Raw genomic sequence first — 12,440 nt, 5'->3', positions numbered from 1 at the left:
CTCCTTGTGAGAGTCTAATTCCTGATGATCTGAGGTGGAACAGTTTCATCCTAAAACCACCCTGCTTCACTACCCTCTCTGGTTTCTTCCATGAAACTGAACCCAGATGCCAAAAAGGTGGGGGACCACTATCTTAGATAATTTGAAGGAGGCCCCTTACATATATTTTCTCATTTTCTCTTTACAGTAATCCTGCAAGATAGATGCCATTATCCAGTTGGGGCATGGTGGCTCATGCCCATAATCCTAGCACTTTAGGAGGCCGAGGTGGGTGGGTCACTTGAGCCCAGGAGTTCAAGACCAGCCTGGGCAACACACCAAGATCCCATCTCTATTTTTCAAAAAATAAAATTTAAAAAAAATTTTTTTAAATGCTGTTATCATTTTCTAGATGAGAAAACTAAGGCTCTGAGGAGTTAAGTAAGTTATCCAGCTTATACAGACAGAAAATTGTAGAGTGAGGTCAGATCCTGATCTTGCATCTTTTAGCCTGGTACTTTTCTGTTTTCTTTTTGAGGACTCAGCACATTTATTGAAAATTTTTAACTTTTGTGGCTCACGCCTGTAATCCCAGTACTTTGGGAGGCCAAGGTGGGCGGATCACGAGGTCAAGAGATTGAGACCATCCTGGCCGACATGGTGAAACCCCGTCTCTACTAAAAATACAAAAATTAGCTGGGCGTGGTGGTGCACGCCTCTAGTCCTAGCTACTTGGGAAGCTGAGACAGGAGAATCGCTTGAACCCGGGAGGCAGAGGTTACCCGGGAGGCAGAGGTTACCCGGGAGGCAGAGGCGCAGTGGCTCACACCTATAATCCCAGCACTTTGGGAGGCCGAAGCGGGCAAATCACTTGAGGTCAGGAGTTCGAGACCAGCCTGGCCAACATGGTGAAACCCCATCTCTACTAAAAATACAAAAACTAGCCTGGTGTGATGACACACACCTGTAGTTCCAGCTATTCTGGAGGCTGAGGTGGGAGAATCACTTGAACCTGGGAGGCAGGGGTTGCAGTGAGCTGAGATTGTGCCATTGCACTCCAGCCTGTGCAAAAGAGCGAGACCCTGTCTCAAAAAAAAAATTGTTTAACTTTTAAGGGATAAAATTGTTTTGTAATAGAGTGTTGGCCTAATAGCCTTATTTTATATCTGTGTTACCTTGTATATGTCACTTGATATTAGTCTCAGTTTCCTCATCTGTTAAGTGGGGTTCTAATATCTCTCATATTTACCTGACAGTGTTGTCATGATGCTCAAATGAGATACAGTCTATGAAAATGTTTATAAACTAAAAAGTACTATACTATGTAGGGTGGATGGGGGCATAGTATATAACTATATGTGTGTGTAAGTATCTATAAAAATTTGTATACGTGTCACAGCAGGAAAATCTGTGATTCTTTTTGGACACTTCCCCTTTGAGTGCCCCCAGCCCTGCCACTCTTGGTGAGACTGTTGGCTGAATGCTTTGTTTCTGACTGTACTGGACACTGATCCAGTGATAGCTTTAGTCCTGTGACCAGTATTTATGGGAGTACTTGCTGAAACCTGTGTGAAGCATTTTCATGAGATATAGTAATGGATGATTGGAGTATTTCCACTCTTGTGCATATTAGAGTTAAACAAGCCAGCTGTTACTGATTTTATTTCTGAATTCATATTTTAAAACTTTCTTTTGGGTTATGAATGTTTTAAAATTCAGAACAGTCTAATCATTCATCAGATCCTTTCATTTGGCATTTACAGAGGATCTACAACGAACTCTAGGTGGGAGTGGGGAAGAGAAAGATGTTTTAGAGGAGTAAATTAATGATATATCTTTACCTGAATAGGCAGTTTTAAAAAGTAATCCTTAAAGTAAGAAACATTCAAAATTTTCAGTTTTGTACTCTATAGGATCTGAAATTTATTTGCATAAAGTTGTATGTATAACATATGGTACATTGAAAGGATTTCTACTTGAATGACTCTAACTTGAGTCACATGCCTTGTGTTATAATTCCATGTTAAATCCGAACAGCTTCAAATTATATAAGTAATTATGTTTGTATTCAGAAATAATAATCATTCTTACCTTGCTGATAATAATAATTACTACTATGTATAGAGTTCCTGGCCTACTAAATGAGGCATTTTTAGTCATACATACACACATAAATACACACATATTCACACATAAATATTAACCCACTTCTTTATATACAAGCACACATGCCTAACTCATTTGCATACTTTTGCAAGTAACTTTTAATCTTTTTAAACTCTCTGAGGTAAATGTATTACTTATAAATAGCAAAATTAAAATTTAGGAATGTGGTATAATTTTTCTGAGACCGCACAGATAGTAAATGATAGATGAGGACTTCAAACTTCATAATCTAAAGCCCATGTATAATCCTTTCCTGGTGAGTATCCAGTTACACATTGGGATTGGCCAGTTAAGGCCCTGCTGGTTTATTAGTATCTCTGTGCAAGCTAAGAGGTAAAGCTGCCCTACTCCAGCTCTCCAGTAGATAAACCTGGGATCAAGTGATTTGTGTATAATCTTTCATTAAAAATTAATTAATTTTTAAAAATTGACACATTGGTTGAACTAGTTTACAGTCCCACCAACAGTGTAAAAGTGTTCCTATTTCTCCACATCCTCTCCAGCACCTGTTGTTTCCTGACTTTTTAATGATCACCATTCTAACTGGTGTGAGATGGTATCTCATTATGGTTTTGATTTGCATTTCTCTGATGGCCAGTGATGAATGAGCATTTTTTCCTGTGTCTTTTGGCTGCATAAATGTCTTCTTTTGAGAAGTGTCTGTTCATATCCTTCGCCCACTTTTTCATGGGGCTGTTTGTTTTCTTCTTGTAGATTTGTTTGAGTTCATTGTAGATTCTGGATATTAGCCCTTTGTCAGATGAGTAGATTGCAACAATTTTCTCCCATTCTGTAGGTTGCCTGTTCACTCTGATGGTAGTTTCTTTTGCTGTGCAGAAGCTCTTTAGTTTAATTAGATCCCATTTGTCAATTTTGGCTTTTGTTGCCATTGCTTTTGGTGTTTTAGACATGAAGTCCTTGCCCATGCCTGGGTCCTGAATGGTATTGCCTAGGTTTTCTTCTAGGGTTTTTATGGTTTTAGTTCTAACATGTAAGTCTTTCATCCATCTTGAATTAATTTTTGTCTAAGGTGTAAGGAAGGGATCCAGTTTCAGCTTTCTACATATGGCTAGCCAGTTTTCCCGTCACCATTTATTAAATAGGGAATCCTTTCCCCATTTCTTGTTTTTGTCAGATTTGTCAAAGATCAGATGGTTGTAGATATGCGGCATTATTTCTGAGGGCTCTGTTCTGTTCCATTGATCTATATCTCTGTTTTGGTACCTGTGGCGATTCCTCAGGGATCTTGAACTAGAAATACCATTTGACCCAGCAATCCCATTACTGGGTATATACCCAAAGGATTATAAATCACGCTGCTATAAAGACACAAGCACACGTATGTTTATTGTGGCACTATTCACAATAGCAAAGACTTGGAACCAAGCCAAATGTCCAACAATGACAGACTGGATCAAGAAAATGTGGCACATATACACCATAGAATACTATGCAGCCATAAAAAAGGATGAGTTCATTTCCTTTGTAGGGACATGGATGAAGCTGGAAACCATCATTCTCAGCAAACTATCGCAAGGACAAAAAACCAAACACCGCATATTCTCGCTCATAGGTGGGAATTGAACAATGAGAACACATGGACACAGGAGGGGGAACATCACACACCAGCGCCTGTTGTGGGGTGGGGGGAGGGGGAAGGTATAGCACTAGGAGATATACCTAATGTTAAATGACGAGTTGATGGGTGCAGCACACCAACATGGCATATGTATACATATGTAACTAACCTGCACATTGTGCACATGTACCCTAAAACTTAAAGTATAATAAAACAAACAAACAAAAATTGACACATTGTATATATGGGGCACAAGTTGATGTTTTGATACACATCTATGTTGAATATTAATCCAATCAGGATAGTTAGTATAGTTATCACATCATATATTTATCATTTCTTTGTCATGAACTTTCAACAGCCTCTCTTACAGCTATAATATTGTATATTTTGTAATATACAATATTTTCCTGTTAATCATAGTCACCTTTATGTGCAGTTGAACACCAGAATTTATTTCTCTTAATTGTGACTTTGTATCTGTTGTCCAGTCTCTTCCCATTCTCTCCTACTCCCTCCCCTCCCCAGTGTCTGCTAACCACTGTTATACTCTCTGCCTCTATGATATCAATTTTTTTCTGAATACTTTAAGTTCTGGGATACATGTGCAGAACGTGCAGGTTTGTGACATAGGTATACATGTGCCATGGTAGTTTGCTGCACCCGTCTACCTATCATCTACATTAGGTATTTCTCCTAATGCTGTCCCTCTCCGAGCCCCCCACCCTCTGACAGTCCCTGGTGTGTGATGTTTCCCTCCTTGTGTCCATGTGTTCACATTGTTCAACTCTCACTTATAAGTGAGAACATATGGTATTTGGCTTTCTGTTCTTGTGTTAGTTTGCTGAGAGTGATGGTTTCCAGCTTCATCCATGTCCCTGCACAGAACATGAACTCATCCTTTTTTATGGCTGCATGGTATTCCATGGTGTATATGCGCCACATTTTCTTTGTCCAGTCTATCATTGATGGGCCTTTGGGTTGGTTCCAAGTCTTTGCTGTTGTGAACAGTGCTGCAATAAACATACGTGTGCATGTGTTTTTATAGTAGAATGATTTATAATCCTTTGGGTATATACCCAGTAATGGGATTCCTGGGTCAAATGGTATTTCTGGTTCTAGATCCTTGAGGAATCGCCATGCTGTCTTCCACAATGGCTGAACTAATTTACACTCCCACCAACAGTGTAAAAGTGTTCCTATTTCTCCACATCCTCTCCAGCACCTGTGGTTTTCTGTCTTTTTAATGATTGCCATTCTAACTGGTGTGAGATGGTATCTCATTGTGGTTTTGATTTGCATTTCTCTAATGACCAGTGATGATGAGCTTTCTTTCATATGTTTGTCGGTCGCATAAATGTCTTCTTTTAAGAAGTGTCTGTTCATATCCTTCACCCACTTTTTGATGGGGTTTTGTTGTTTTTTTTTTTTTTTTGTAAATTTGTTTAAGTTCTTTTTAGATTCTGGATATTAGCTCTTTGTCAGATGGATAGATTGCAAAAACTTTCTCCCATTCTGTAGGTTGCCTGTTCACTCTGATGATAGTTTCTTTTGCTGTGCAGAAGCTCTTTAGTTTAATTAGAACCTATTTCTCAATTTTGGCTTCGTTGCCATTGCTTTTGGTGTTTTAGTCATGAAGTCTTTGCCCATGCCTATGTCCTGAATGGTATTGCCTAGGTTTTCTTCTAGGGTTTTTATGGTTTTAGGTCTTATGTTTAAGTCTTAGATCATGCAGTATTTGTCTTTCCATGTCTGGCTTATTTCACTTTACATGGTGTCCTCCAGGTTAATCGATGTGGCAAATTACAAGATTTTATTCTTTTTTTATTTTCTTTAAGTCAGGGTCTTGCTCTGTTGCCTAGGCTGGAGTGCGGTTCCACGATTGCACAGTCATAGCTCACAGCAACCTCAAACTCCTGGGGACTCCAGCCTGGACAACAGCGAAACTGTCCCTAAAAAAAATTAAAAACCAGATTGTTCTTCTTTTTTGATGTAGCCATTTATTGCTGTATACTTATCTCTTAGAACTGCTTTTGTTGCATACCATAGGTTTTGGTATATGTTTTGATTCTTGCTTGTGAAGCGTGTTTCTTCTAGGCAATGTATACTTAGATTTTGTGTTTTAATCTATTCAACCAATGTATACCTTTTTTTTCTTTCTTTCTTTGAGACAGGGTGTCTCTCTGTTGCCCAGGCTGTAGTGTACCTTTTAATTGAAGAACTTAATCCATTTATATTCAAGATTTTTTTCTACTTCTTCTTCTTCTTCTTCTTTTTTTTTTTTTTTTTTTTTTTGTTTCTTTGAGACAGGGTCTCACTCCGTCACCTAGGCTGGAATGCACTGGTGTGATCTCAACTCACTGCAACCTTCACCTCCTGGGTTCAAGTGATTCTCGTGCCCCAGCCTCCCCAGTACCGGGATTACAGGCATGTGCCACCATGCCCAACTAATTTTTTTGCATTTTTATTAGAGACGGGTTTTGCCATGTCGGCCATGCTGGTCTCAAACTCCTGGCCTCAAGTGATTCGCTTGCCTTGGCCTCCCAAGGTGCTGGGATTACAGGCATGAGCCACCGTGTCCAGCTATATTCAGGATTGTTATTGATAGATAAGGTCTTATTCCTGCCATTTTGTTAATTACTTTTTGGTGGTTTTGGAGATCCTTTGTTCTTGTCTTCCTTTCTTGTTGTTTACCTCTGATTTAGTGGTTTTCTGTGGGGCCAAGCTTTGTTTTCATTCTCTTTCTTGTTTGTGTATCTGCTGTAACTTTTTTCTACATAGAGTCTTCAGTTAGGCTGGTGTGGTGGCTCTTGCCTATTATCCCAGCACTTTGGGAGGCTGAGGCAGGCAGATCGCTTGAGCTCATGAGTTTGAGACCAGCCTGGGCAACATAGTGAGACCTCGTTTCTACTAAATAAAGAAAAAAGAAATCAGCCGGGCATGGTGGCACACACCTGTAGTCTCAGCTACCCAGGAGGCTGAGGTGGGAGGACCACTTGAGCCTGGAAGATTGAGGCTGCAGTGAGCCATGATCAGGCCACTATGCTCTAGCGTGGGCATCAGAGTAAGACTGTCTCAAAGGGGAAAAAAAAAGTCTTGCAGTTACAATAGAATGTTTTAAGCTGATAGCAACTCAACTTTGGTTACATAAAAGGACCCTAGGTTTTTTCCCTCCCCCTTCAATTTATATTTTTGTTGCCTTAATTTTCTTCTTCATCTGTTATGTGTTCCTTAGCTACTATTTGTAGCTGTTGTAGTTTTTGACCATTTTAAATTTAACCTTCATACTAGCAGATTGAATATTTTATATGACATATTGTATCACTGGGGTTTGATCTGTTTGATTTATGAGTTTACCTTTACTGGTGAGTTTTACACTTTTGTGTGTTGTTATGATAGTGATTATTGTCCTTTTGTTTCTAGTTGTAGCATTCAATACCTTGAATATATTAATTCTATCCCATTCTCTGCTGGTCTACAAGGTTTCTACTGAGAAATCTATTGATAGTAATGGAGATTCTCTTGACAATTTTCTCTTGCAGCTTTGAAAGTCTTACTCTTTGACTTTCGATAGTTTGATTATAATGCACCTTGGAGAGGATCTTTTTGGGTTGAATGTAATTGCGAACCTTTGAACTTCCTGAATCTGGATGTCCGTATTTCTCCCACTACTTGGCAAGTTTTCAGCTATCATTTCATCAAATAGGTTTTCTGCGCCTTTCTCTATCTCTTCTCCATCAGGCAATCTTCAATGCAAGTATTTGTTTGCCTATTGATGTCCCATATGTTCCAAGGCTTTCTTTTTTATTCTTATTTGTTTTTTTTTTCCCTCTTAATGGGTTATTTCAAAAGACCTGTCTTCAAGGTCAGAAATTCTTTCTTCTGCTTGATCCTAGTCTATTGTTGAAGCTCTCAATTGTATACTATTTTTATTTTTTTCATTGAATTCTTCAGTTCCAAGATTTCTGTTTGGTTCTTTTTTATGATATTGATTTCTGTTGAATTGCTCATTCGGATCATGAATTGTTTTCCTGATTTCATTTAATTGTTTGTCTGTATTCTCTTGTATCTTACTGAGTTTCCTTTAGATCACTATTTTGAATTCCTTTTCAGGCATTTTGTAAGTGTCCTTTTCTTTGGGGTCTGTCATTGGAGACTTTTTTCCTTTTTTTTTTTTTTGAGACAGGGTCTTGCTCTGTCACCCAGGCTGAAGGGCAGTGGCATGATCTCAGCTCATTGCAACCTTCTCCTCCTGGGTTTAAGTGATCCTCCCACCTCAGCCTGCTGAGTAGCTAGGACTACAGGCGCATGCCACCACACCCGACTAATTTTTTTATATTTTGTAGAGACGGGTTTTGCCATGTTGCCCAGAATGGTCTTGAACTCCTGAGCTCATGCTATCTGGCTGTCTTGGCCTCCCAAAGTGCTGGGATTACAGATGTGAGCCACTGCGCCCAGCCAGGAGACTTAACCGTATTCCTTTGAGGGTGTCATGTTTCCTTGATTTTCATTTATCGTGTGCAAGATACTGGATGTTGATATGTGTGCATTTAGTAGCGTAGTTGCTCTTTTCAATTTTATTGAGTAGCTAGTATATAGTAACAGTCTTTTTCTGTAGATGGTTTTAGGGTATTAGCTGGGTATGGTGTGTTGCCTTTGGTTCTGGGTGGACTCAATGGGTGGTGTAATAATCCTTGTCAGCTTCAGCTGTAATCTTCAGCTATAATCCTAGTCATTGATGTTTGCAATTGCCTCAGTTGCCTAGGCTGTGGGAGTTTGTGATGGCAATGCTATAAGATGAGGGTACCGAGCTGATTTTTGGCCAAGACATGTACAGGCTAAAATGGCTGCCAGGCTGTCTATCTGGTTTTCCAGGGAGGCGGTAGTTACTGCTGTGGTGGCTGTCGTGCTGGGCTCAGGCCTTTGCTGCAGCGGCCTGCTGGGCAGCTCTGTGGCTACGTAGGGAGATGGGGCTACTGCCTGGTTGGCTGTTGCTTTGGGCTAGGCTCAAATGCTTTTGTGCAGTGGGGCTGGGCAGTTTGGCAGCAGTCTATGGTAGGGGGCCAGGGCTACCACAGGACCAGTTGGACTGTGTGCTGTGGGACTGTGGGACTCTATTGTGGCCTGTTTTAGGGGACAGGACCACTGAATTGCCAGCTATCAGGCAGGGCGTGGGCAGGTGGTTCTGTGATGGGTTGTGAGGAAGTAGGGCTGCCGCAGGATTGGCTTTTTGGCTGAGTACTGGCGCATGCATACTTGGCAGCCCAGATGGTTGTATGGAACAGGGGTGTTGGGTAAAGCGCTGCCAGCTATCTATTTGATGGCTTCCTTGCTGTGCAGGTCTGCCTGTTTTCTGGGTGGTTGGTAGCGCTGTGTGGGGTCTGATGCTGAAATCATCGTCACTCTGTTTGACCTAGACTCTATGTGGATGGGGTTATGGTGCTGCAGGCCATCGTGTGATCACGGTAGAATGATGGCTGGTTCTCAGGGATGAAGAGAGTCAGTTGCTACTGGTCCCCAGGGCAGGATGCACACTAGTAGTGAGTCTAGCTTCAACTTGGTGCCATGCTACAGCAGCTTAGGACAAGGTGGGCTCCCACTCTGAGGCAATACAGCTGAATGATCTCTTGGCTACTCTCCAGACTGGATTTGTGGCCACTGAGGACTTAAGGACTGTCCTTTATCAAGAATTGCTGGTGCCTGTGGCAGCAGTGGGGACCACTGATAGGTATCTCCAGCTTACTCTTTCCCTGTAAGAAGTTCCTCTGATTTTAAGCTGATTTTGGCAAGGGAGACAATGTGGCAGGTAGGAAGCCTCACCCTGTGGTGCTATCCTGAGGCTTCCATGTTCCACAGGGATTTTGCCCTTTCTCTGGTGCTCTGCAGCATATATCTACAGTCATTTTAGTTGAAATATAGTTATTTGTTATTTTGGTCTCTTTTTGTTGTGGGTGATGTGTGCCAGGTAACTCTGGTGAGCCATTTTTTTTAAACAAATCTGCATACAGATTGAGTATCCCCTATCCAAAATGCTTGAGACCAGAAGTGTTTTGGATTTTGTTTTGTTTTGTTTTGTTTTTGGATTTTGGAATATTTTATTTGTATTAGACTTACTTGTTGGGCATCCCAAATCTGAAATATGCTCCAAAATCCAAAATCTGAAGTGCTCCAGTGAACATTTCCTTTGAGCATCATGTTGGTACTCAAAAAGTTTTGGATTTTGGAGCATTTTGGATTTCAGATTTTTGGAATTGGGATGTTCAACCTGTATAATCTTTAGATCACCTGTTCAGCAAATCGACAAACACCGAGGACAGTTTCTGTCTGCAACGAAGTTGACAGTCAGGTAGCCAGGGATAGCTAATCAGTGAATAACAATACCTGGTACTGGTAGGAAAGAGCACCAACCACAACCACAGAAGCCTTCTTGGAGGAGCTGATCTCTGAACTGAGTTTTGAAGGATGAGTAACTAGGTAGCAATGCAGAGAAAGAGAAAATATGAGCAGGGATATAAAAGCAGTACATTATCATGCATAGCAATATACTAAGCTGCAATATCATACTAAACTACAAGCAGTCTAGTGCTTTCTAGTTGGGGGGTAATGTTCAATATAGGGGATCTGTAATGAGGTAAGTTGGAGAGGAAAACAGAAGCCAGGTTCTGCAACAACTTAGCTTTGTAGCCTCGAGTCTATCTTGCTTAAAAAGTGAATAGTTTCCAATCCCTTTGGCTTATAGCGTATGAAAAATTTTCTGATATGTGTTATATCAGAAAATTCAAAACCATGTAAAAGAGGTTAGCTTTTACTTATTTATAACTGCCCTCTTTGTGGGGCAAAGAAACTTGAGGTCCCAGTAAGCAGATTCATGGGACTATTTAGAATACAATCACTACTTTTATAAGCCTTAAGAAGTCATTGACCTTGAAAATTACAACATTTTCAGACTGTTAGGTTATAGACTTTTATGCCTGTAAGTCTGCCCATGACTGGTCTTTCCCAGGGTAAATGCAGATATTCCTAGTTAGTGGCAGTTTTATGTCTGATGTACTTATCACCCAGTTGCATAGACTTATGTTATTTATACCAGTTGAGCAGTTTTTGCTCTTCAAGCAGGTGTGATAATTGTTAAATATCTTGTATCTAAATTTCACATACATTTAATAAGGCTCTCAAGTGAAATGGTTTTCTCAGTGTTAAGTAAGGTTTTCATAGCATTAACTACCTAAATTTAGGTTGTTAAGTAGTGCTAGTAGTACAGTTGGAGAGATTCCATCTTAATCTAAACATATTTGTCTTGGTTAAAGTATACCAGAATGTAGCTTTTTTTCTCATTGGTGAGGTGCACTTTATAATGAACTCATTATCTTTTTGGTCCAAATCTGTTTCTCTATGTTTTCGTAAGTGATACTATCATCTGCTAAGTCATGAACCAGAGGAATTTAGGAATAGTTTTTCTATGTCTTACATCCATTGAGTCACAACTCATATCAGTTCTTCCTTCTTGACATCCCCTAAATCCATCCCTTCTCCATTTCCACTGGTCCTGCAGTAATAGACATCTCACCATTTTTCAAGTGGATTACTATGCTATAGGACTCTGTGTCTGTGGACTTAAAATGGAAAGCTTCACCTATTCTTAGGTGACATTGAAAATTTATTTCAAGTAATGATATTTAATTTTGGGGGGCACAAATTTGCATAGTACTCCCTCTGTGCTGCTGTGTTGGTTGAGCGTGCAGCTGAGGGCATTGGAGGAGGGCACTGGGAATTATGGATGAAGCAACTTACTGTGAAGTCATGAAAACTTTTATTCTAGTAGAAAAAAGCCAACAGCTAATGCTGGTGGTAAAAGTAGAGAGAGATTTAGGAGGTCTTAAGCGTTTATAGTTCTTATTTATAAAATTGTTGTTGGGATTTAAAAAATGGATGTTAGATATGACATTGACTCAGATCTGTGTAACAAAAGAAAAAGTGGTTTTGAAACTACTTTAGTCAAAATAGTACAGCAGTTGTTTTTGTGGAATCATAGGAAAGGTGTTAACTTGAGTAAGGACATTCCCCAGGAACATGTAATTTTCTATGAAAAATTTGGTTAGAGAAAAGATCTGAGCCTGTATAAGCATTTCCGCATTTATTAACTTAGGAATTAGAGAAGATCTCAGATAAATTTCTTAACGTCTAGGACCTGCTCCAACAGCCTCTGAAACTAGTCTTTTTGCTTTCATTTTGATTCCTTATGGTCCATTAGTCATACTGTTGCAAGATGGGCTTTATGAAATATAAATCTATGTTCTCCCTTACTTAAAATGAGTAAGTTGCCTAATCTCAGCCTCGTTTGTCATCTAGAAAATGGGGATAAGAGGTATATGGGATTATTGGGAAGAATAAATTGGAAAAATATAAGTAAAATATTTTATACATTGTTAAGCTCATTAGATGTTTAACAGGGATTATGTAACAATTATTTATAAGGCAAACCCCTTACTATGGCAAATAAGGCTCTTTATTATCCTATCTCTACTGCCTCATTTTCAGGAGCCCTATCTTACGTTCCATTCGTAAAACCACTTAATATTTCCCACTTGGCATTTGCACTGTGATTTTCATTTCTCCAAGTATACCTCTCCCTGCCTGTACCTTAATACTGCTTGTTCTCTCCATTCCCGTGTCATCATTCATAGATGTGTATTACAGCATTGCATACCTTGTCAGT

General features: G+C 39.8%; 1 pseudogene across 2 annotated transcripts in view, besides 1 other annotated feature; it reads left to right on the top strand.

Annotated features, from left to right (window-relative positions):
- LOC101929322 (integrator complex subunit 4 pseudogene) overlaps positions 1–12,440 on the top strand; it is a 62,731-nt pseudogene that overhangs the window by 13,485 nt on the left and 36,806 nt on the right. The gene's annotated exons all lie outside the window — the stretch shown is intronic.
- Positions 8,792–9,292: an enhancer, noted in NCBI's record as "H3K4me1 hESC enhancer chr7:64997202-64997702 (GRCh37/hg19 assembly coordinates)". NCBI's record gives its function as "activates a minimal SCP1, AML or CMV promoter by ChIP-STARR-seq in primed H9 embryonic stem cells {active_cell/tissue: H9 hESC(primed)}" and the evidence as "EXISTENCE:reporter gene assay evidence [ECO:0000049][PMID:30033119]".

This window comes from Homo sapiens, chromosome 7, assembly GCF_000001405.40.
Source record: "Homo sapiens chromosome 7, GRCh38.p14 Primary Assembly".
NCBI classification, from domain to species: domain Eukaryota; kingdom Metazoa; phylum Chordata; class Mammalia; order Primates; family Hominidae; genus Homo; species Homo sapiens.
This window is presented reverse-complemented; position numbering and strand designations above follow the sequence as displayed.